This window comes from Homo sapiens, chromosome 11 (genome assembly GCF_000001405.40).
Source record: "Homo sapiens chromosome 11, GRCh38.p14 Primary Assembly".
Lineage (NCBI taxonomy): Eukaryota > Metazoa > Chordata > Mammalia > Primates > Hominidae > Homo > Homo sapiens.
In genome coordinates, this window is record NC_000011.10 from 122,876,544 (window position 1) to 122,901,917 (window position 25,374).

Sequence of the window (25,374 nt, forward strand, 5' to 3'; positions counted from 1 at the left end):
AAAGAGATAAGTGGCTGGCAAGGGCTGAGGGAAGTGGGAAATGAGGGGTGACTGCTAATGGATATGGGGCTTCCTTTGGGGAGACAGTCTGGAATTAGCTGGTCGTGATGATTGTGCCACTCTGAATATTTTAAAAATTACTCAATTGTGCATTTTAAGAGGATGAATTGTGAGGTATGTGAATTATACCTCAATAAAGCTGTTACTTTATTTTGAGACTGAGTTTTACTCACTCTGTCACCCAGGCTGGAGTGCAGTGGCACAGTCTCGGCTCACTGCAACCACCTCCTCCCAGGGTTCAGGAGATTCTCCTGTCTCAGCCTCCCAAATAGCTACGATTACAGGCACGCGCCACCATGCCCAGCTAATTTTTGTATTTTTAGGAGAGACAGGGTTTCACCATGTTGGCCAGGCTGGTCCCGAACTCCTGGACTCAAGTGATCTGCCCACCTTGGCCTCCCAAAGTGCTGGGGTTACAGGTGTGAGCCACTGCACCCAGCCAAGCTGTTAGCTTTTAAAAATCACTTTGTAGAACTTGTTTGGGTCCTGATTTAAACCAACCAATTATAAAGACACGTAGGAGACAGTCTGGGAAGTCTGAACACTGAGGATTAGACGATATTAAGAAGTTATTACTAATTTTGTTTTAGATGTGATCGTGGTGTCATGGTTATTTACAAATGATCTCTTGGGGACACATCTTAAGTACTTACAGATTAAACCATGTGATAGCTGACATTTGCTTCTAAATAATTTAGTCTGGGAGGAGCACAGTATGTATGGAAACAAGGTTGGCCACATACTGATCTTTGTTAAAGATGGGTGAGAACAATGTGCCCATTCATTATACTTTTCTCTCTACTGTTGAATATGGTTTCAAATTTTCATGATGAAATGTTTCAAAATTATTTTTAAGAAAGAAAACCAAGGACACAAAAAAGGAGAAAAAAGCCTGTCATTAATCATCTGTTCAGGCCAGGCATGGTGGCTTATGCCTGTAATCCCAGCACTTTGGGAGGCCAAGGCAGGCGGATCACGAGGTCAGGAGATCAAGACCAACCTGGCTAACACAGTGAAACCCCGTCTCTACTAAAAAAAATACAAAAAGTTAGCCAGGCGTGGTGGCGGGCGCCTGTAGTCCCAGCTACTCGGGAGGCTGAGGCAGGAGAATGGCATGAACCCGGGAGGCAGAGCTTGCAGTGAGCTGAGATTGCGCCACTGCACTCCAGCCTGGGCAACAGAGCAAGACTCTGTCTCAAAAATAATAATAATAATAATAATAATCTGTTCATTTGCATTCCTAAGAGCCATCCTTCCAGATCATCTATTTCCCAAAGTTGATCCCGGCCAGGCTGAATTCTCTTCCTCTGGGCTTCCCCAGCACGTGGCTCGTTCTTCTAGAAGGGTGTCAAAGTTACTCGTATTTCTGTCTGTTGAGTTTCATTTTCTGTTTAAACATATATTTATACCATTTCAGTCCTCTAAAATTCTCAGGGCTGACTCTTTCTAAGTAAATACTTTTCTTTTGGATAGTTGAGGTTTATCTCTTTGAGATGTTAAATGTTTTAATATTTTGGACAAAAGTCTTTGTAAAATAAGTTACATGACTTTTACCTTTCTAGTCAATATTTATGAAGCTGACTTACCCTATATGAGTTTCAAGAAGTTAATCATTATGAAAATTAATCTTGGCACTTGCCATAATAGTGTGATTCTCACACAGGATATTCAGGAATAAGGCTGTTTGTTCCTTACACCAAATGAACCCAGGTTGCTTTGTTTGTTTGAACATCTCTTGCTTTTGTGATATTTTGGTCACTTCTCTTGCTGGTACTGCCCCTTCTTTCTGCCCTGAGAGTGCCCTCCTTGACCCTTTCTGATTTACCCTACGTGTGAAGAAACCAGACAATTAAACATATTACAGTTATATGTAGAATGACTACACTGCCTGGCTACCCAGGACAATTTCAGTGTATACCTATTGTCCCAGTGTAATTAATAAATAGCATCCTTAAAAAAAATTCTTGAATGTATCCTAGTTGGCTTTTTCTTTCTTTTTCTTTTTTTTAGTGGTGGGATCTCACTCTGTTGCCCACACCGCAGTGCAGTGATGCAATCATAGCTCACTGCAGCCTTGAAATCTCGGGCTCAAATGATCCTCCTGTCTCAGCCTCCTGAGTAGCTGGACCTATAGGGCATGTACCACCACACCTGGCTATCCTGGATTTTAATAAATTATCTGATCAACCTAGTTATATGCCAAATATGAGTATATCCTTGTTACAAGGTTTGACTGGCCACTCTCACCAGTTCTATTAAAGGGACTGACTACTTATCTACTCCCCAATCATGTGCTAAAGTCTAAGGATATTGTGGCTTTTTTTCAACATTTACTGAGGATTTATTAGGTGCCATTCACTACGTTTGTCCTTGTTCTCTGGTTCTCTGGGAGCTCATAGTTTAGTAAGGAGGTGACATAAATATAAACATGTAATTTCAATGCAGTGTTGTACAAGCATATGTATAAAGCTAGAGGCATGCAGTTGGGTGCCTTGAGACCACAGACCAAGGGCCATTAGCCTAGCACAGAGTTTGTCAACCTCGGCATTATTGACATTTTGGACCACATAATTTTGGCAGGGGGGTGGGGGGACTGTCCTGTGCATTTTAGGATGTTTAGCAGCATCTCTGGCCTCTGTCCATTAGACGCCAGTAGTACTCCCTTAAGTCATAACAACAAAAAAATGCCTCCAGATGTTGTCAACTCTCCGTGAAGGATAAAACTGCTCCAGCTTGAGAAGCACCCTGGTCCAAGAAGCATCAGACAATGTGGGGGAACTGCCACAAAATTCCTGCTAGAGGAGACGCTGCTGAGCTAGACATAGGTCTGGTGGACTCAGGAGGGGTAAGACCAAAAAGGAAATGGAGCAGAGGAAGGACCTCACGAACAGAGCATGAGTGATGTGTAGGAGAGGGAAACAGAAAGAAGGGAGTTGCATGAATGGGTGGCATGGGGTGGAAAAGGAGTAAACTCAGTTCAGTATTACTAACCCATGTATTTAAGCGCTTTTTGACTTGTTTTTCCTATTCTGCGTATTTTGGTTAGTTCAGGGTCAGGTTGACAGCTGAATTCTAAAAGATAATATATGCAAAAGCACTTTGCAGACCCTGTGAAGTGCTATTCATATGTAAATTATCAATGTTATTACCATAACAGCAGATGAAAACAATGCACTTTATGGTTTTATTTTGTTTGCATGCACTCTGTAATCCTTAAGAATTCTGAAAAGCAGAGCATTAGTGTGCTGCTTATTAAACCATTGTCTCTCAGCTTCACTCATATACTCTGGTCGTGATGCTGGGGCAACCCCTACAAACCTCATTTTTCTTTGCCAGCCGGCTCCTTGTATTACTCTGCCAGGAGGGGACAGTAGAGGGAGACCCCAAGCCTGGAGACTGGAAAAGGGACTGCTCCTTCCTTTTCCTCTCGAGGTCACCTTGACAACGTCTCTTCACTCCAGCAGCTCAGTTGGTTTCAGCAGCAGTAGCTGATTCCAGTTTTCCCAGCACTCTCAGAACCAGCTTCATGATTCCTTTTCAAAGACACCAGCACCCACTAGCTTGGGATTTCACCCTCCTGAGAGGCCTGGGTCCCAGCTCTGAGTGTTAATAATTTCAGTGTTAATACTTCTAAGTGTGAATAATTCTTTCCTGTGATTCCCCAGCCACAGAGGTGGAAGCTGCTTCCTGTACTTACTACCTCTATGACACTTGTGTTCCCTTTTCAACTTTTCAGTTAATAAATCTTCATATTAAATTATTTCCATTATACTAACTGGCATGGTTTCTGTCTTCTCACTGACCCTGACTACCACTCGTGTTGATTATTCCACCCTTTAGTCACTCCAGATACTCAGGACAGCCATTACAAGGGGAGAAGGAGGAAGATCAAGCCCAGAGTGTCCCACGCTCTATGTGTGACTAGTCTCTGCAAGTAGCTGCTGGATTGACAGACTCCTGAATCACGTAGGGACCACTAATTTTCAGAAAAGCCAGTTAAAATCTCTTCTGGATAGTGCAGAAAACACTGGAAGAGTCTAAAGAACCACAGCATCAAAAGTAGACAAGTGTGAATGACTCAGCATTGATTCTATAACATATTCTGGAAGCCACTATTAGGACTAAATCCTTTTGCTTGAAATTTGCTTGCATGTTTGCAGTTGCTATAATAATACCTTGTATAATATACTGGGCAGAATAACACTAATGGTTTCAGCTACGTTGCTTTTATTTCTTCTACAGACATTGAGGTCCTACTGTGTACTCATAAGACAAGGTCCCTGCTGCCAAAAAAGTAAAAAAAAAAAAAAAAAAAAAAAAACTAACTCAAATAAAAAACAGAATAAAAAGTGCTAAAGCTGGGTAGTAAAGACATTTTCCAATTTCCTGTGTTTCCTATCATTAATGAGGCAACTGGTATTGAAGCATTCTTTTTTTATTTTATTTTATTTTTTTGAGATGGAGTCTCGCTCTGTCACCCAGGCTGGATTGCAGTGGCACATCTCAGCTCACTGCAACCTCTGCCTCCCCGGTTCAAGCAGTTCTCCTGCCTCAGCCTCCCATGTAGCTGGGACTACAGGCGTGCACCACCACGCCCAGCTGATTTTTGTATTTTTAGTAGAGACGGGGTTTTGCCATGTTGGCCAGGCTGGTCTTGAACTCCTGACCTCAGGTGATCCACTCGCCTAGGCCTCCGAAAGTGCTGGGATTACAGGCATGAGCCACTGTGCCTGGCCGAAGAATTCTCTTTTTTTTTTTTTTTTTTTTTTGACAAGGTCTCACTCTCACCCAGGCTGGAGTGCAGTGGCACAATATTGGCTGACTTCAGCCTCAACCTCCTGGGCTCAGGTGATCCTCCCACCTCAGCCTTCCAAGTAGCTCGGACTATAGGCACGCGCCACTACGCTCAACTAATTGTTAAAAATTTTCGTAGAGACAAGGTTTTGCCATTTTCCCCAGGCTGGTCTTGAACTCTTGGGCTCAAGCAATCCTCCAGCTCGGTTTCCCAAAATGCTGGGATTACAGGGTGAGCCACTGCACCTGGCCTCAAACCAATCTTTGAAGGTAGTTATTCAAATCTACTTGTTGTTTTAATGTGAAGATAATTCCTAATGCTTCCTTTCTTTATTCTTTTTTGAAACCTTTTTTGATAGTGAAATATTCTACCCATACATAAATGTACAGCTTAATGAATTTTTACAAGATGAACATCTATATAACCATCATTAAGGTCAGGAAATACAGTCTCAAAAACATTCTTCTCCCTACCTGCCAGAACCGACCACAATCCTAACTTGATGGGAATCACTAAGTGGGTAGTGTTTCCCATAAAATTGCTTTTTTGCTTTTTTTCATAGTTTCCTCCACTAAGTATGGAGCCACAATCACTGTAGAGTGTAATTTAGCCTGTTTTTTATATACAAAAATCATACAGTATGTACTTTTTCTGGGTTTTTGTTGTTGTTCAAAATTGTGTTTTTAGTATGCCTCCATATTGTTACACATAGTTGTATTTCATTCATTTACAGTGCTATGTAGTATGCCAGTATAGGCAATAGCATAATCTAATTAACCATTCTTTTGATGGATAGTTCAGTTATTTCCAGTTTGCATGCACAGGAGCACGCACTTCTTAGGGTAAATACCTAAAAGTGAAATTGCTGGATCCCAAGGCATACATATCCTGGCTAATGTCAAACCATTTTCCAAAATGGTTGGTTGCATCGGTTCTCACGTCCGCCCGCAGAAGGTGACGGTTCTTTGCACTACGTCCTCCCTAGCACCTGACGCTGCCAGACGTTTCAACTTTGGACTTTTCGACTCAACTTATGGTGAGTGTGGTATTATCCGCTGTGGTTTTAATTGGCCTTCTTCTGATTATTAATGAATTAAAGCATCATTTCAATAAACAGATATTTATTGGCCATTTAGATTTCTCGTGTGTTTGTGAAATACCTTTCCATTTACCCATTATTTAATTGGGTTCCTTTTCTTCTTGATTTGTAGCAGTTCCTCGCGTATTTTAGTAGTTTTATTTGTGGCAAAGATCTCCTCCCCCGGGTGGCCTCTGCCCTCCGGCGCTGGGAAGTCCGGGCGGCGAGGCAGCCTCTCCCGGGGCGTTCGGGCTCCTCCGGCTCTGCCCCGATGTCGTTATTACGGCCGTTTGCAGCCTCCGTGCCAGGGCCGGGGGTGCGGTTCGGGACGCGGGATCCTAGGTCGGGTCCTGCCCCGCCCATGTGGCGCCGGCGTCTGTGTTGTCTGCGGTCTCCAGGGCAGCGCCGGGGCGGGCGGGGGCCCGGGCGGCGGCGGCGGCGGCGCGGGAGGATGCGGGGCCCGTCCGGGTCGCGGCCGCGGAGGAGCGCCGGGCAGGTGACGGGCGGTGGCCTCCCGGATCTGGGGTGGGCGGCGCGCCCGGGGAGGGAAACGGGAAGGGCTTACTGGGGATGGGGACGGCAGGAAACCACCCAAGCAAGCTGGGGAGGAGCCGGCGCGGGAGCCTTCGGGACGGAGTGGGGAGCGACAAGGGGGCGAGGCCGCGACAAGGGGCTGGGGGGCCGCCATGCGAGGCTTCGGCGCCCGGGCACCCAGAGCAGCCCTGTTCCCGGTCAATTAGGACCGGTCCCGGGCACCAGGCCCGCCGACTTGTCACTTCCTGGACCTCCAAACGCCCCTTGTGACAGGCCTTGTTCCTCAGGAACAAGCAAAGGTAGAAAACCGAACGCCTCCCCTGGGCAGCTTCCGGCCTGTTTCAAACCAGGGTTCGTTCCTTTTTCTTTACGATTCATCTTGGTGAGCCCAAGCAGGGTTCCTTTTCCCCTCCAGGAGAAAGTTCGATTGTCCCATGCTAGTGGACTAGACCCACTGCAGGGATCCCTGGGGAGCTGGCCGCTTCTTAGTCCCTAGGTGCCATCGGATCTATCGCTGTCTTGTTTATTCAGGAGACTAGTCACCTCTCTTGGTCAGAAATTTCAGCGGCACAACCTTTTTTTTTTTTCACTGGACGGGAGGAGGGAGCCACATTCATGAAATTTAAACGCCCACTTTCTAACTTATTCAAGCTGTCAGCTGTTCCTTCTTCCACCCCATGTTTTGGTAAGATCAGGCCTCCACAGAAAACCCAGCTTTTGTGGCGTTTGGCTTTGCTCTTTGCATACTTTAGCAAACTTCAGGAATCTGCTAACATCAGCAAAATTATCTTCTGTGGTTACTGTTTTATTTTTTATTCATTCCAAGAAAGCTTAGCCTATTTCATTTAAGAAGAGAAGTTCAAGGGACTGAATTATTTTAAGAGTAATTCTAAGTTGCACTATAACGCTTAAGCTTGCTCTTCAGGATCTCAAATTCAGTGACCTTAGCTCCTCCAGTAAAACCGGTGTTAAACAATCTCTTTTACTTAAAATGTGTTAGTATTTGATAGATTTGCTGCTTTCTTGGCACATCCTAAAAAAGCAACAATTAAAATAATAAGGCAGAATGCAATATGTATTTTAAAAATAAGAGACAAAATAATACAACAAACCAGTCTGTAATATTAGAGAATAATATGTTAGTCTACCAACAGGGCAGACTTCGAGTTCAATAGAAAACTCACTTCGTGTGTATTTACATATGAACGTTCCCTTTTGCCTGTTGTTTGTTAAGGTGCTTTCCTCCAAGGATTTGATGATGCTCCTTGCAAACATTAGCAACAAGGTCAACATTATAAGCAATCCTAGGAATAGTAATAAGGTTGTGTCATTTAATTAAAGTTAGGATTTGCCAAAAGAACAAGAGCAAGCCATTAAGACAAATTTTACAGCAATTTCTAATGGTAAAGGTTTCTGTTACCTGACTCACAGAAAAAAAAAAAATGGGTATAAAGGCAGTGAGATAGAAAATAGACCAAAATAGAAATGCTAGGTAGAGATGAAAGGAAGCACAATCCAAAAACATCATGTCCGTTCGGTCCTACATGAACTCAAAGCACCCTTTCCATGGCTCTTTATAATGACCCTTACAGACAGTGCAGGTTCACTTGAATCACACTCGTAAGTGAGTTGGAAGGGACTCCAGCTAACTCTTAGCTGTAATTCAGGCCAATCTCCCACCCACTCAACTTTCCCCAGGATAGCATCCCGTTCGGTAATGTAGACCTCCAGGCTCTGCTTTGGATCGCTCAGTGGCAGAATTCACAAGACCACTAAATCTTTTGTTGAACAGTTTTATTTATTTTTTCTGATAGGGTCACGTTCTGTTACCCAGGCTGGAGTGCAGTGGCACTCCAGCTCACTGCAGCCTCTGCCTGCCCGGCTCGAGTGACCCTCCTCCCACCGCAGTCTCCCGAGTAGCTGGGACTACAGGCCCATCCCACCATGCCCACTAATTTTTTGTATTTTTTTTTTTTTTTTGTAGAGATGGGGTTTTGCCATGTTGCCCGGGGTGGTCTTGAACTCCTGGACTTAAGCGATCTGCCCACCTTGGCCTCCCAAAGTGCTGGTATTACAGGCGTGATTGTTGAACAGTTTTAATCGTTATTATGGGTTTTAAAAAATACCGGATGAGGTTGATCTCCATTTATGTCCACCTAAATTATATGTTCCTATCTAGTCACAACCTGGCTATCAGAAAGTCTTTTCCAAATGATGTTGCCAGCCCATATAGGTCTAGGAACAAAACAGCTTCCCCATTTACAGTTCCAACTATGGAAAACTACACTCTTCTTTCTTCTTACTTTACTTTCCAAAACATAGCCCCTGAACCTGTTTTACTCTATCCATGAATAACTACGGACCATATTTATATTGCCCATAGTTATTTGGGCATTTGAAATAAGGCTATCAAAGTACTGTCCATAATTAACCATTTGTCTTAGTCCAGGCTTGTCTGTAACAAGCCCTTGGAAGCTAGAAATAGGAATCCACTTCCAAGCAGCCATTTATTTCATCAATAAAACTGCATTCGATTACTCAGGCTGCTTATGAGCGCTACATCAGATGTGTTTCTGCAGAGAGAAAAACAATTGTTTTTCTAATAGACCTTTCTTATACACACAAAAGGGTGCATACAAAAGCCTGCAGATAATATAACAAGGTTCTCTTACTCATTTAAATATTTGATTAACGTTGACAGTATTGAGATTTTAGTGGTCGCAGAGTAACATAAATATATTTTTTTTCAGGTAACGCTTTTGTGAACCACAACTTTAAATATCAGCCAGCTGCTCCTATCAACACGAGTATCCCCTGTTAATTTTTTGCATTTTTCAAGATGAGTAAACGTAAACTAATTCCCAAGCTCTCTATTCAATCTCCTGTCCTTCATACCAACTTAAATGTCCAGTCCACACACCCACCTTTGAAGAAAGAAGACTTACATCGGATTTCAAAAGACTCCTTGGAATCTGATTCAGAAAGCCTCACGCAAGAGATTATGTGCCATTCTGAGTTTGATGATCGAATCCGGGGCAACGGTATGGAGCCCGACAGCTTAGACGAGGAGGAAAGCCCTCGATGGGGAAGCCTGCACGAGATGGAAGAGGAAGCAAGTGGAAAAGCAGCTCAGATGGCTCGCGAGCAAAACCACCATACCTGGGACCAGGGCGCCAATAACAGGTAAGGAATTGGCTTGTGTAAGATAATAATGGGCTCTAAAATGTATCATTAGATAATTACTGTCGTCATTCCAAATTAGAGTAAGGGCAAGCTGCCCTAATGAGCGCCGTGTGTGAGACAGGTCTCCAAGCAGCCAAGGATAGCTGGGCACCATGTTTTTTCCATATTCAGATTTTTTTTAATTAAAAAGTGCAATGGGTATTAATAAGGGCAATTCGCATTTCTCATACCATTTACTTCCTGTCCATATTCCAAGTGTCTCCGCACTAGGACCTCACCTGGGAGAAATTCCAGAAAGCCGGGTATGGAAAAGGATGTGGAGTCAGGTGGACTTGATTTGGTCCAGGCGTTGCTGTTTAGTGTATAATCTGGAATAAATCACTTAACTCTTTTTTTTATTTTTTTAAAAATTTTATGTAGTATTAAATATTTACAATAGAGATGGGAGCTCATTATGTTGGCCAGGTTGGTCTTGAACTCCTAGCCTCAAGCAATCCTTCCACTTCAGCCTCCCAAAGTGCTATGATTACAGGCATAAGCCACCATGCCTGACCCACTTAATTCTTTTTTTGGCTCACTTTTTCTCGTCTGTCAAATAACCTGACTTGCCTATCTCACAGGATTGCTATGAATGTCAATAAAGTACAAATAATTGGGGGTAGAATCTTACTTGGCCCATTCAAAGCTAGTAGAGGTCTACCTCTCAGGGCTTGTATGATCATATAAAGATTTAATCTAATAACCAGAATTTAAGGGATTTAACCTTGTGCTATGAGCTACCAAAAAAAAGTAAGGGAATATGAAATAATGTGTGATATCACTCTGTTACAATTGAGGCACTGAGGATATGAGAGTACAGAAGAAGGTAAAAGCTATTGATTAGGAGGAGGTTTTAGTGTGGTGGTGAAGTGCATGGTGTCTGAAGCAGACCATTTGGGTTCAGATAGTGGCTCTGCCACTTACTAGCTGTATAACCTTGGCCAAGTCCAATTATATTTCTGTGCCTCAGTTTCTTCATCAGTAAAAATGGGATAATAATAATAGTTAACCAGTTATTATGAGGCTAAAATAAATACATATAAATTGTTTAGAATAGTGACTGGCTCCTTATAAATTATATCGTGTTAGTTTTTTTTGTGTGTGGGACGGGGGAGGAGTCTCGCTCTGTCATCAGGCTGGAGTGCAGTGGCGCAATCTCAGCTCACTGCAACCTCCACCTCCCGGGTTCAAGTGATTCTCCTGCCTCAGCCTCCCGAGTAGCTGGGACTACAGGCATGTGCCACCACGCCCAGCTAATTTTTGCATTTTTAGTAGAGACGGGGTTTCACCATGTTGGCCAGGATGGTCTCGATCTCTTGATCTTGTGATCCGCCCACCTTGGACTCCCAAAGTGTTGGGATTACAGGCGTGAGCCACTGTGCCCGGCCGATTTTTTTTTTTTTTAATTCAGGCTGAAATATATTAAGGAAAGTTTATTGGAAGGCCTAGAACTTGGACAGGGTCTTGAAAACAAGCTAAGTTCTGGATAACAGAAGAGAATGGGAGTGACATGTTTGTGGCACATTAGGGAGCCCAGCTGGATTGCAGAGGATTTGTTTTGAGTGTAGCAAAAATAGACTGAGTAGGGGTCTGATTATAAGGGGGCCTTAAAAATGTGCTTATGGTATTGGAAGATACATTTTCAGGTCTTGAAGTGTAACCATCCTACCACAGATGAGGATATTGAGTCTTACAGAACTCAAATGATTTGTCCTTGGGATACAGTCACTGCAAGGGCTCGTGTGGGAGCGAGAAGTAGAGCCCGGTCCTGAGTCTTTTCTTTCTTTCTTATCTTTCTTCTTCCTTCCTTTCGTCTTCCCCCCCTTTTTTTCACTGGGGCTATCTAGTTGAATCAATCTCATAAGTGTCTTAGTGATATGTCACAGTAAAAGTGATAAGAGTTGTCACCAAGGTGCTAGAGGCGCAAGAGGCTTGCAGGACAGCTTCAGAGAGACAGACAACCTTGATAGGACTAGGCTGGGAAAGCCAGGCAGAGAGAATACAGGTTCTTGGGGAGGGCAGTGAGATGCAGCAGCGTTTAAGGAAGATTATTATGCAAGCTAGTGCATTTTGAATTAGAGACTAAACACACAATGGGCAAAGAGACTGCTGGATGGATATGACAGTAACAATGACATCACTTTTTAAAAGCCTATCTTAGTTTCACTCAATTCTCCATCACAATCCTGTAGGGAAGTTGCTGCTTTTCCTATTTTACAGATAAGGAAAATGAGGCTAACAGAGATGAAGAAACTCGTCTAAGGTTATAGTGCTTGGAGGATGTCCTTGTTGTGTTACTGATGCTGTTTTTTTTTTTAATCATGCAAAAATTCTAACCTATAGAAAATTACAGAGAAAAATACAGTATAACCCTTACTGCCATATTTGTTTCAGACCTATTTTTAAAATTCATAGTGTATTACAGATAAAGTTTCCATGTACCCCCTTCTCAAACTCATTCCCCTTTCTTCCCCCTTAGAGGTAATCAATACATACTCTTACGTGAGTGTGCATCCTTCTCACCAGTCTTCCATTCATTTATTTCATAGGTGATCTATAATTAGTGAATAAATATATATCTATATATGGATGCATGATGCCCATTTTGTTCAGTCAACATTATGTTTTTGGGATTTTACAATTATGCTTTTGAACTAAGACATGGTCTTGGTTGAATATTGATGAATATTTAGTTTTTTTCCAGTTTTCGTTATTTCAGACAATGCTCTGTGCATGTCCTCGTGTGCCTCCTTGGGTATGCATGCAAGGCTTTCCTTAGGGTATAAATCTCCAGGAGTGGAACTGTGGTTCATGGGCGACTGGACATCTTCAACTTTACTCACAAGTGCCTGCAAGTTACCAGTCCTCAGAATTACTGTCTTTTTAACTTTTGCCACTCTGATGGGTTATAAAATCCTGTCCTATTATAGATTTAAATTACTTTTCTCTGATAACTTGTGAGCTCGAGAATCTTTTTACATGGTTTTAACCAAATGAGATGGATTTAGACATCCTCTTTGGCAACTGGTTATTTTCATTTAACAAAATACCCATGTGTATCTTGGGTATCCTTCGATAGAGTTGGCTTTCCGTATCCATGGTTTCGCATCTGTGGATCCAACCAAACATAGATCAAAAATATTTGGAGAATAAATGGATGGTTGAATCTGTACTAAACATGCACAGAGACTTTTTTTCTTGGCTTTATTCCAGAACAATATAACAACTATTTACATGGTATTTACATTGTATTAGGTATTATAAATAATCTACAGATAATTTAAAATATATAGGAGGACATGCAGGGCTATATACAAATATTACCCCAATTTATAAAAGGGACTTTCCCATCCCTGGATTTTGGTATCAGCAGGGAGTCCTGGAAACACTCCCTCACAGATAACTGAGCGATGATTATACTTATATGTTCATAATACATGTGTACATGGTACATAGTATTCTAGTATCTGGAGGTGCCATTATATATTTATTCAGTCACCCAAGGGTGGACTTTGGGATGTTCCCAGTTTGTTTGTTTGTTTTGGAGACAGAGTCTTGCTCTGTTGCCCAGGCTAGAGTGAAGTGGCACGATCTTGGCTCACTGCAACCTGCGCCTCCCGGGTTCAAATGATTCTCGTGCTTCAGCCTCCCGAGTAGCGTGCGCCACAATGCTCGGCTAACTTTTTCTACTTTTAGTAGAGATGGGGTCTTACCACATTGCCCAGGCTGTCCTTGAACTCCTGAGCTCAGGAAATCTGTGTACCTCGGCCTCCCAAAGTGCTAGGATTACAGGCGTGAACCACCACTCCCGGCCCCAGTTTCTTGTTTTTTTTTTTCCAACGAAACTTTAACTGAAATTATATATATATATAAATGAAAGAATTGACAGGGTTTGGTGACAGATTAGATATGAGGATTGAAGGAACAAGAGAAGCCAAAGATTAGGGTTCCTGTAACAACAGCTAGCATTTATAGAATGCTTATCATGAGCCCATTTCTGTGCTAAACACTTTACATGTATTATCTCATTTAATCTTTATTGCAACCGTGGTAGATACTATCATGATCCCATTTTGAAGGATGCAAATGAAGCTTTAAAAGTTATATTATACCCATTCATTGCATCTAGTGAGTGGTGGAGCAGAAAACTCAGGCAGTCTGACTCCATGGCCCCAAACCCTGTTTTTATCCTGGTTCTAAGAGATTTATAGTCTCCTAGGTAATAAATGGGAGTAGTTTTAGTTATAGAAATGGGGCCACTGGAAAGGAAACATCTGTTGCAATGGATAGGTATTTTTGTCTGTATTTTTAAGATGAAGAAACCAAGGTAAGGATCCATGAAGTGACCTCATTTCCCAGTTGTTGGGTTTTTTTCTCCTTTTGTCCAGTGCTCAGGGACCTGACTTTAACCCTTGTTCTTACCAAAGGACAGTTTAAATACAATCTAATATGTTTCAAAATAAAGAATAATGCTTATAAAAATCAAAATTATGGTTAGATCCTTGGTTTTCTCATTCAGAGGTCCTCAGATAAGGCTGTTTTCCTCAGATTGATTTGCCTTGGACATTTTTTAATGATGAACTGTAAATCCTAGGGTTAGAATAGGTTATAGCCCTAGTCATTGTTTGGCTATATAGTGCTTCATACACTGAAATTAGGATAACCAGTTCTCCAATAAAAAGGAAAACAGAACTGAAGCATTTGGGTAAATAATGCCTCAAAAATATCATTCAGGTAAGCATTTCATTACTGGTCCCTTTCCCTGCCTCATGTTAGTCTTCGAAGCCTCTCCTAGGCACACTCTTGCTGGGATCTGAGTAGTTTATGAGCCCTGAAATAGACAAGGAAATTGATCTCAGACTCTCAATATGAAATTCAAGTAGGCTTTTATGTCTGTAAAGTAGATGGCATTCTGGGAATTGTAGTTCAAAAACAAAACTGTCAAAGCTTGCCTTAAAACCAAGGAAAATTTCTTTCTTCTTGCTTTTGTAATCAATAATTTTAAAAGCTGCCTGACAAATCACTTGAGTCCTACACTTGTGTTTTGATGTTACTAGAACCTCCTCAAAGCAATTATTCCCTTGTATCTGACCAAAGTCAAGCCATAGTTCAATGTATATGGATGAGAGAAAACCTTTTACTTAATGGAATTTGGAGCAGCATTGACTGTAGTGAATAAATGAAGAGTGGAGAGGGGATCTTCACGTGATAATCCTTAAACCCCACTCCAGAACTGGCCTTATGACACTCAGCACTCACGAAGAAAGAGATCTGTGTAATTCCTAGAGCATTAGAAACAACCTCTTCAGTCCTGGGGACTTCTGAAACCTTGTATATTAAAAAAAAAAAAAATCAGAGAGCAGCCATACAGTACTTTATATGTGTTTAATAAGGTCTTGTTAACAGGAATATTTATATAATTAGCTACCATTTGTAAAACTCTTTGCTTTATATATACAATCTCATTTATCCTTACAGGAGCCTCTTGGATAGGCATTATTATCCCCATTTTGCAGATAAGGAACTGCAGATCTGAGAGCTGTATAGGTATACGTAATTACTAGATAGTAGAGCCAGAAATTAAATTGACCTCTCTCCAAACGCTAAAGCCTGAGCCACTAATTACAAGTATTCAGATAGGTAATCAAGGATTGAGCTGATAGAGGATTCTATTTCACTATCCAGTAAAAATTAAAACTATGACAATTTCAGTATAGATTAAACTGAGGCCAGAGTAAATATGCATGTAAAATGATAAACTTCAGGAAAGTAATAAACATTTTTAGAGGATACTGTGACCTCAGAGTAGATAGACATGAATTATATTTTCCTTTGGGCTGGGAGGTCATAGTAGCCATTATTCTTCAGCACTTGTCCTGGGAAACAAATGTTTTCATGCAGTGAGGTCTGCAGTGCTTTCCTTTCTGATCACTTCTGACCATAGCCTCCACAAAAGGGCCCATATTCTGTCTAAGAAACCACCTTGTATTATAAATTAATAGGAGGGAGATAGGCACATGAGGAATTACTAGTTAAATTGAGTATCCAGAATTGTCTGCAAGTTAAAAAAAAAAGGGACTCATAATAATCTGCATTTTTTTTTTTTTTGAGATGGAGTCTTGCATTGTCACCCAGGCTAGAGTGCAGTGAGGCGATCTTGGCTCACTGCAACCTCCGCCTCCTGGGTTCAAGCAATTCTCCTGCCTCAGCCTCCTGAGTAACTGGGACTACAGGCGCGTGCCACCATGCCTGGCTAATTTTTTGTATTTTTAGTAGAGACAGGGTTTCACCGTGTTAGTCAGGATGGTCTTGATCTTCTGACCTCGTGATCTGCCCACCTCGGCCTCCCAAAGTGCTGGGATTACAGGCATGAGCCACCGCGCCTGGCCAATAATCTGCATTTTTATTGTTGTATATAATTGTTTCTCTCAGATGCTTTCATGTGTGTTGTTTCTGATTAATAATACGAGTCAGGTGAAGTATTGAATGATGACTTCTAGGGCTTGAAGAGTGACATTGGATAACCAAAAGAGACCACAGGTAGAGAAAGACTTAGGGAAGACCAAAACTCAGGATTTTCATTTCCCCCAAATTTCCCAGGCTGTTTTGTAGAATGCATCAGGAATATTTAGGCTGAGACTAGACTACTGTGTCTCCATAGGTGGTGCAGAGATTTTTTTCGTACTGATTAGGAGATTAAAGAAGCATCTGAAGTTAGGTCTAATATGCTAGGACTATTGAGAACATTCTAGGAGCTTTCAGGAGTCAACTTTCATTCCCATTGATTTCTAGCAACATTCATCCATGTTGTTTTCTGTTGCCTTTTATTAGATTTTCAATTTAAGGCCATTGTTTTGCCAACCTCTTACAATACATTACACTACCTGCCATGTTCTAGAGGTTTCCATGCAGTATTCTGGGAGTAGCTACTAGTATTTATTTATTTATTTCTGATCACATGAGAATAGTTATATCAGAGGAGTGACTTTTTGTTGCAGGTATTAGTCATTTCTGTTTTCTGTTCATTCATTTACTCACAAACTATGCTTTAGTTAAACCCCGACACACTCCTCAGAGCAGGCATGGTGCCATCGTAACAGATGAGCAGTCATAGAGGGAAGTAAAGGGTGTGCATGGGCATGAATTGTAGCTATTAAAGGCTGAGTCCCCGCCAGAAATGCTAAAGCCATAGTGACTCCTGAGGCTTGTTGCCCCCGGAGACAACCACTAGTTCCTTCCTAGGTTATTTCAAAACTGGGATGCATTATTGCGTTAAAATAAGTACATACATAGTGAGTTCAAAACCTCATAAAGTGTGATTTATTTAAATTTAAATGACCTACAACGCTGTGAGTTTATCAAGAGGATCAAGAAGATCATAATGAAATGACTAAAGGGATGCTTTAATTCATGACCTTTGCCTCTTCATTTATTTCTACTCCCTGACAAGTTTGAAAATATAGAAAACTTTAATATATTTTTTTAATATATGGAATTAAAAATAAATGATTTTCCCAACACTTCCATATATTGCTAGGTTTTGCCTGATAGGCCCAATCCAACTAATAAAGTAATGGATTATTAGAGCTGTTAGGGCTGTCAAAGGTCAGCCCATTCCCTTTATTTATTGTACAGAGGAGGAACCCAAGACCTAGAGTGGTGGAAAGACTTGCCCAAGCTCACATGGCTGGTTAGTGCTTGGACTAGAACCCAGGTGTCAAGACCACTCCATTGCCTTCTTATGATATCACAGCTGCCTTACAATTTTAATGCTGCTAAATCTGGCACTTAAAATATAAGAAACTTGGCCAGGCGTGGTGGCTTACGTTTATAATCCCAGCACTTTGGGAGGCTGAGGCGGGAGGATCATTTGAGGTCAGGAGTTCGAGACCAGCCTGGCCAACATAGTGAAACCCCGTCTCTACTAAAAATACAAAAATTAGCCGGGCCCATAATCCCAGCTATTCAGGAGGCTTAGGCATGGGAATCGCTTGAACCCAGGAGGCGGAAGTTGCAGTGAGCCAAGATCACGCCGTTGCACTCCAGCCTGGGGACAGAGCAAGACTCCATCTCAAAAAACAAAACAAAAAAAAAGCAAACAAAAACAAAAACAAAAAGCCACGTAAAAGAAGAAGAAGAAACTCTACCTAAAGAAAGTGTAAGCACCTGTGCACATTTTATAAATCTAGGTCTCTGTCTCTTAGCTATTATTTTGGAGAATGAAAAAAACACTCGAGCCTTCCTTGGAAAATGTCTGGCATTAGCACTGTAAGCTGTCGCTGAATGAGAGGAATTATGTTTCTAAATACTGTGTCATACAGCATTTCCCTTGTGAAGATGCAGCCTTGGTTTCACATGACATAATCTTAATAGAAGTGAGGTACTAGAATTTTACATTGCAATTACAAACATGTCTTCTTTAGATAATTTTCATTTAACTCACAGATTGTTCTTGAATCAAGACTGGTACTATTAAGAACCCAGGAGAAATATCTGGTATTCTGCAGTCACAAATCTGTTATCAAAGAAAAAAAAAGGACTTTGGTTGGAATTATCCAAATTATGTATTTTTATAAATAAAATTCACTAAATAACAATCCGGCCTCTTTAGTGTGTTCCTATAGACAGTCTTTGACCTTCATTTCATTAAAGCATCCTTTTTTCTATTAAAATGCTTAAATTTTTAGCAGAATAAATGCCTGCATTAAATAAAATTTTCTGGATTGCAAATAACCTTCACAAAGCATTTCAGCATATTTGTGGAACCATTTTATTTCATATTTACAGAAGTGAATTTTTAATCTTTCGGATTTATTTCATTTTATTTACTTAAAAGCTATTGATAAGAAGATTAAGGTGAGCATAGAATTCAGAAATCCTTGGAAACAATGATCAGTTTTATAGTTCCTTAAAGAAGCATTAAAAACTTTACACTTAAACAAAAATTGAATTTGCTGTTCATATGCATAAAAGATTTAATGGCATATAAATTGGGAATAATTATTCTGTTTAAAAGGATTAAATTAAACCTAAATCAATAATAACATGTGCAGTTTCAATTTAACTGCGTACTTAAAATGAAGTGACAAATAAATAACAGCTAAATGCTTAATAGCAATGCTTTTATTCACCTCCTCAACAGGCAAAATGGCCAGTTATTGAATATTTTATTGTGAGTGCAAAGGATGTTAATTGTACTAGAAACATGCTCTAATTTTAGTAATTTTTTGATTGAATACAATATTGAATATGAGGCTCTTCATTAAATGGAGACTTTATTTTATTTGGTTTGAAGTTATCACAATAAGTACTCAAATATGGTCCATTAAAGCCAGCAAATATCATGGCATATGCATGTGAAACCGTCCCCCACTCCCTTCCTCTCTGCCTCCGTTTCTAACCTAGGCATCTGAAGAGCAGACTCTGCATCTGCTGTCTGAACAGTAACAAAAGAGTTGTGTACTCATTTTCTGTGTAACCTTTCTATCAAATGGGGAGGAAAAGAGGTGCATGTTTTGTGTGCAGATGATGACTAATGAAAGGGCACTTCACACTCATTTTGTCCCAGTGTTGACCTGGACCACAAAACACAATGGAGCTTCCAAGCACACAAGCTCAGTACAATGGGGTTCTTCAGTATCATGTTCTATTTTGACCATTAGATTTGTTCCTGTGAAGTATTACAGCTTTCTAGGCTCATGATTTTGCAAAACATAACCTCCTATTTGTCTCCACATGTGTTTTCCATCCAGAAAGGAGAGAAAGGGGATGTTTAAGATAGTCTTTTCAGGTGTAAATGGTGCAACGTAATTAAAACTCTTATAAGAGCCACATCTTCAGGCTCTACCCTTATATATACACATTCTTAGAGTTTCTCTGATTCAAAAACATTTTTCTCAGCCAGAGCAACTCATTTAGTCTGGCGTGTTTCTAAACCCTTTGTATTTTCTAGGTTCCACTTAAAACATCAATCTTTTCTGTAGTGGGTGATATTGCTTCTACAGCCATTTAAGAATGGAAATTTGGCTTGAACCCAGGTGGCTGAGGTTGCAGTGAGCTGAGATCGCACCACTGCACTCCAGCCTGGGCGACAGAGGAAGACTCTGTCTCAAAAAAAAAAAAAAAAAAAAAAAGGAAATTTGCTGAGGCTAGAAATTACAGCTTTTTCAGAAGGTCTAAAATAATTTAATTCTTGGAGTTTTACCTTATTCATCATCTTTCAGCAATTGTTAAAATGTTTCATCATGTGAAAGTACTTACGTTTCTTAATCCCATTCCCTAAATTGTGGTTTGGCCATTCTCCACCGTGCCTAAGTCGTGATTAAAAACTGGATTTTTAAAGATGGGTGTTAATTCTTTCAGGCCATTAGGGAACCACTTAGTGTATCACAAGACAACTTTGTGCCCTGGAAATAAGTTAAGCCCTGGGGAGAGAAGAATCCCTTGAGATCCATCACCAGAAGCACAATACACAACAACGGTGTTATGTCACGGGGACTGAATGTGACGTACAGCAAGCAAGGCTAGTGCTGGAGCTCTCTGACACGTGCTTCCACAGGTAGTCCTCATGGAACCCTTACTGTGTGCCAGGGACACAGTTCTATGCATTTAGATGGTTTGTTTGTTTGTTTGTTTGTTTTTTGAGACAGAGTCTCACTCTATTGCCCAGGCTGGAGTGCAATGGCATGATCTCGGCGCACTGCACCCTCTGCCTCCCAGGCTCAAGCAATTCTCCTGCCTCAGCCTCCTGAGTAGCTGGGATTACAGGCACGTGCCGCCATGCCCGGCTAATTTTTGTATTTTTAGTAGAGACGGGGTTTCACCATGTTGGCCGTGCTGATCTCAAACTCCTGACCTCATAATCCACCTGCCTCGGCCTCCCAAAGTGCTGGGATTACAGGCGTGAGCCACCGCACCTGGCCAAATTTAGATGTATTAGTTTGCATAGTCCTCTCAATAACACGATGAGGTAGGTACTATTATTATTTTTTTAACTTTTTTATTTTTATTGAGATAGGGTGTCGCTGTGTTGCCCAAGCTGGAGTGCAGTGGCACAGTCATGGCTCACTGAAGTTTCGACCTCCTGGGCTAAGCCATCCTCCTGCCCCAGCCTCCTGAGTAGCTGGGACTACAGGCACATGCCACAGTACCTGGCTGATTGGTTTTGCTTTGTTTTTTGTAGAGACGAGGGGTTTCTCTGTGTTGCTCAGGCTGCTCTCAAACTCTTGGCCTCAAGTGAGCCCCTTGCCTGGACCTGTCAAAATTCTGGGACTACAAGCATGAGCTACCACACCTGGCCAGTACTATTATTATCCCCATTTTATTGATGAGGAAACTGAAGCACAGAAGTTAAATAACTTGCCCACATTCACATAATCTGGTGGCACCAGGAAATGAATGCAGGTAGTCTAGGACCCTTGTTCTTAGATGCTCTGCTGTACCATTTCTCAGAACCAAAATAATCCATATTATCATACAGAGAAACAAAGCACCGCAATATTACATGTGATGGAAGGAGGTCTGTAGTCATGACTGTAGAAACTATGCCCTTATCAGCTGATGCTGGTTAAATACCACGACCAGTATGAGTGCACCAGTTTTCTTAGCATAACGGCAGAGATGGAAACCAGAAAATCTATTTCCTTAAACTGAAGACTACCTAATTTTTAAAAATAGTGGGCATTACTCAGTTATTCATTCTTTCATGAGTCTATCATAGGATCATAGAACAGTGGAGTTGGAATGGACTTTGTGATATCATCTAGCAATTGAATGTGGAAATAAGAGGCTAACATATTTTTGTGATAAGTCACATCCTCCTGTTTTAAATACCCATAACGTCCTGTATTTCTTTACACATCGAATTCATTAGTTGATTACTGTATTACTGTTGGTGCATAAAGCCTGTCCTCCTCATTGAAGGGTAAGATCCAGCAGCCTGCTTCTGTTTTCCTTGCTGCTGTATCTTCTGTGCCTAAGATTCTGCCTGTATGTAGGGAGGTGTTCCATGCTTATCTGTTGACCGACTGATCCATTCGCTGATTCACATAAGGCAGACACTGCAACCTACTTTCTTCACTGTCACCTATGGGAATAGCTGCAGGGTACAATGCAACATGATGTGCAGGAGCCCGATCCAGAGCAGACTGCCAGGCTCTGTGACCTTGGGAGATGTACATAAGCCCTCTAAGCCTCAGTTTCCTCGTCTGTTAAATGGGGGTAATAATAGTACTTCCCTTAACATTGTTCCAAGGAAAAAAAACTGAAGACTCACAACAAACATTCCCTAGATCATCAAACAGTAACACGTGCTCCCTTTCCACATCCCACTCCTGAGTGAGTAGCAGAACAGTGATCCCCAGTGTTGTCACCTGTGAAAGGTGGCCAGCCCTGCTCTAAACAGTACAAAGTAGAGGATTACTTGTTCTAAGTTTTCCAAAAAGGACTTCATAGCCTCTGTAGATAATCCCTTCCAGAAAGTCCTCACTTTGGCTGTCCAAATGTATTTACATCTTACTAAAATCTTTGCTTGCTAATTAACTCTCTGGTTAATTTTGTTAAGCCCGAGCTGCTTCAAGTGTTTGCAACGTCCCTCGAGATCTGACCTTTGCTTGCCCTTGAGCTGTGCTCCTCGACCTGCCCTCCTCTCACCCTCCATTTTGTCCACACAGAATTTGTTCTATGAAAGCACCACATTGTCTCTGCCTCCTCTCCTTTTTACATGCTGTTCCCTCAGCCTGGCATAGACTTCCTGCCCTTCTCAGCCTTAGTTCTGAGTCACGCCAGCACTTCCTCCAGAAGGCTTTCCCTGACCTCCCAAGATAGGACTGGATGTCCCTCTGTGTCCCTATGGCCCGGTGCTCCTCATCAGAGCACAGATCACTCCAAAGTGTCAATTACTGTTTCCTGGTCTGTATCCCCTACTAGGCTGTGTGTCCGCTGCTTCACCATCTACCACTATTCCTGTAGCTTCGTAAGGGCTCGATAAATAAATACCTGCTGAATCAATGAATGAGCAAATTGAATTAAGAAAGTTAAATTCAGTTTTTTTCTTTCATCACAGCATAAATATGGGAAAATAGCACCTTTCTTTACAAAAAAAAATCTGTATTTACTTGAAGACAATAATTGAGCTTTCTTCCCCACCTGAACAACCACAGTTGAAACTTATGTTTAATTCAGCACAAGATAAGCCCTAAAAATCATTCCCTAATTTGGTCTAATGCAAGAAGCCTTTACATGTTTAGATTCGAATTTATTACTATTGATTTTTAAAAATAAATATTTATGCTGTATTTGTGTTGACTAGAATATTTTTAGAAAAGGAGTTATTTATTCAAGAAGTATTTATTGACTCTTCTGTCCATAGCACAGTGCAGCATACTAGGGCAGAAGTTAGGAAACGAAAGATCACTTGCAGTCCCCGCTGCCTGGGAATTTGTCTAGTGAGGAGACAAGATTATCACAGTGAAAAATTAAGTAAGCACAAACATAGAGCACTTTAAGACACATTCTCTCATGTTGATCCTCATTCAGTCCTGAGAAATAAAACAAATAGAATTTATCCCGATTTATAGATGAGAAAAACTGAATCAGAGATGACTGATTTGCCAACCAATGCAGAACAGGTAGTGACAGATGGAGAACGTGAGCCCAGGTCTGTGCCCTGCCGGACACTGCTGGACCCCATGTCCCATATCCCTGCCCCATGATGCTTAAGGGTCAAGTGAAAGGCAGGGACAGGAAACACTGTGAGTTCCTAGGACAGTGCATCACTTGGGAGAAACCTCCCCGTCAAAGCCCCAGAGGCAGGTGACCCTGCAGTGCAGCGAGGTTTTAGGCATCCCATTTTCTAACAAATGTAGACCATTCCCATTTTGCTGAAGAAGAGGAGCATCTCTCTTCTCTTGTTGGAAAAGGAGGTGCGACTTATTTCAAGAAGTTCCTCATCATAATATGTGAACTAAAAAATTCAAAATGACAATTCAGCAAGGCGTGACAGTTTTGGCTTTTTGCTCCAGTTGTTGCTTTACATCAAATCAAAGAAACCTGGGTCCACATTAAGAAAAGTAAATTAACATTAGGGGGACCATTAGTTTGTTTACCCAGCATACAATTATGTCCTCTGTAAACGGGAATATCAAATAGCATAAAAAGCCCGGGTGATTTACATTTTCTTTTTGATTAGAGGGTTGCATCTACTGTACTCAAGGAAGGAAAATCTCTCCCATTTAGCTTTTGAAGATCAAAGAGGCCATTAAATATGCCATACTACCAGCTTTTTTTTTTTTTTTTTTTTTTTGGTTAAGACTGGGGGTGCTTTACAAATTGAGATTGTCATGGGGAAAAGGGAGACTTTATATTGGGTCACATGAACTGATTATAGGTTAGTTTGTTTTTCTCAGGCAGGACCGTATGCTTAACCTTTTATTCAAATAGGCCCCTCCTGCAGTGTCAAGTACATTCTGACCTATCGACTGAGCTTCGTGTGCATAGCTGACAGCCAAGAGGCTATGAACCTTTCAGTGAGCCGTGATCTGGTCTGATTTGAAGCCTCGGGGATCTTTCTGTAGTACATTAGATACACGCTACAAAGACAAAATGAAGTGAAAAGCAAAATCACTGAAAAGAAGAATGAATCTACGTAGGTATGCAGTCAAGATAAAACCGTGCTTTCCCCCAAAAAGGAGCAGTCTGAAGCAAATGTTGTCTAGGCAACAATTCACAGTTCTCTTTCTAAACAGCAGATGTCTATACAGTCATGCATTGCCTGATGACAGGGGTACGTTCTGAGAAATTTTTGGTTAGGTGATTTCATCATTGTGGGAACATCATAGAGTGCACTTACACAAACCTAGATAGTACAGCCTACTACACACAATTTGTGCAATGTGTTACTATACTAAACACTGTAGGGAATTATAATACCTTGGTAAGTATTTGTGCATCTAAACATAGAAAAGGTACAGTAAAAATAAAGCATAAAAGTTTTTTAAATGGTACACCTATATAGGCACTCACCATGAATGGAGGTTGTAGGACTGTACATTTCTCTGGGTGAGGCAGTGCGTGAGCAGGAGTGAATTTCAAGGCCTAGGACATTACTGTAAGCTACTGTGGACTTCAGAAACACTGTACACTTAGACTCCTCTAAATTTATTTTTAAAAATATTTCTTCATTAATAAATTGACCTTAGCTACTGTAACTTTTTTATTTTATATACTTTTAATTTTTTTTTTTACTTTTTAACTCTTTTGTAATAACACAGCTTAAAACACAAATACATTGTACAGCTGTATAAAAATTCTTTATATCCTTATTCTGTAAGTAAGCTTTTTTCTATTAAAAAATTTTTTTTGGCTGGGCGCGGTGGCTCACGCCTGTAATCCCAGCACTTTTGGAGGCTGAGGCAGGCAGATCACGAGGTCAGGAGATCGAGACCATCCTGGCTAACACGGTGAAACCCTGTCTCTACTAAAAATACAAAAAATTAGCCAGGCGCGGTGGCAGGTGCCTGTAGTCCCAGCTACTCGGGAGGCTGAGGCAGGAGAATGGTGTGAACCCAGGAGGCAGAGCTTGCAGTTAACCAAGATAGCGCCACTGCACTCCAGCCTGGGCGAAAGAGCGAGACTCTGTCTCAAAAAAAAAAAAAAATTTTTATTTTTTAAACTTTTTTGTTAAAAA

At 41.2% G+C, this 25,374-nt stretch overlaps 1 protein-coding gene across 5 annotated transcripts in view, besides 1 other annotated feature; it reads left to right on the forward strand.

Annotated features, from left to right (window-relative positions):
• Positions 1–6,215: 6,215 nt before the first annotated feature.
• The window catches only part of JHY (junctional cadherin complex regulator), an 81,104-nt gene continuing 61,945 nt past the window's right edge, over positions 6,216–25,374 (forward strand). For 4 of the 5 annotated variants that reach the window (NM_024806.4, NM_001363087.2, NM_001363088.2 and 1 more), the window contains exons 1-2: positions 6,216–6,429; positions 9,218–9,650. In NM_024806.4, coding sequence (NP_079082.2) covers positions 9,307–9,650 — 344 coding nt within the window. In that variant the 5' untranslated portion in view covers positions 6,216–6,429; positions 9,218–9,306. Of the gene's footprint in view, positions 6,767–9,217; positions 9,651–25,374 lie in introns of all 5 variants that reach the window. The other variant, NM_001363089.2, reaches the window with a different exon arrangement.
• Positions 6,335–6,694: a silencer, noted in NCBI's record as "silent region_4010". NCBI's record gives its function as "represses an Ori minimal core promoter by ATAC-STARR-seq in GM12878 lymphoblastoid cells {active_cell/tissue: GM12878}" and the evidence as "EXISTENCE:reporter gene assay evidence [ECO:0000049][PMID:35858748]".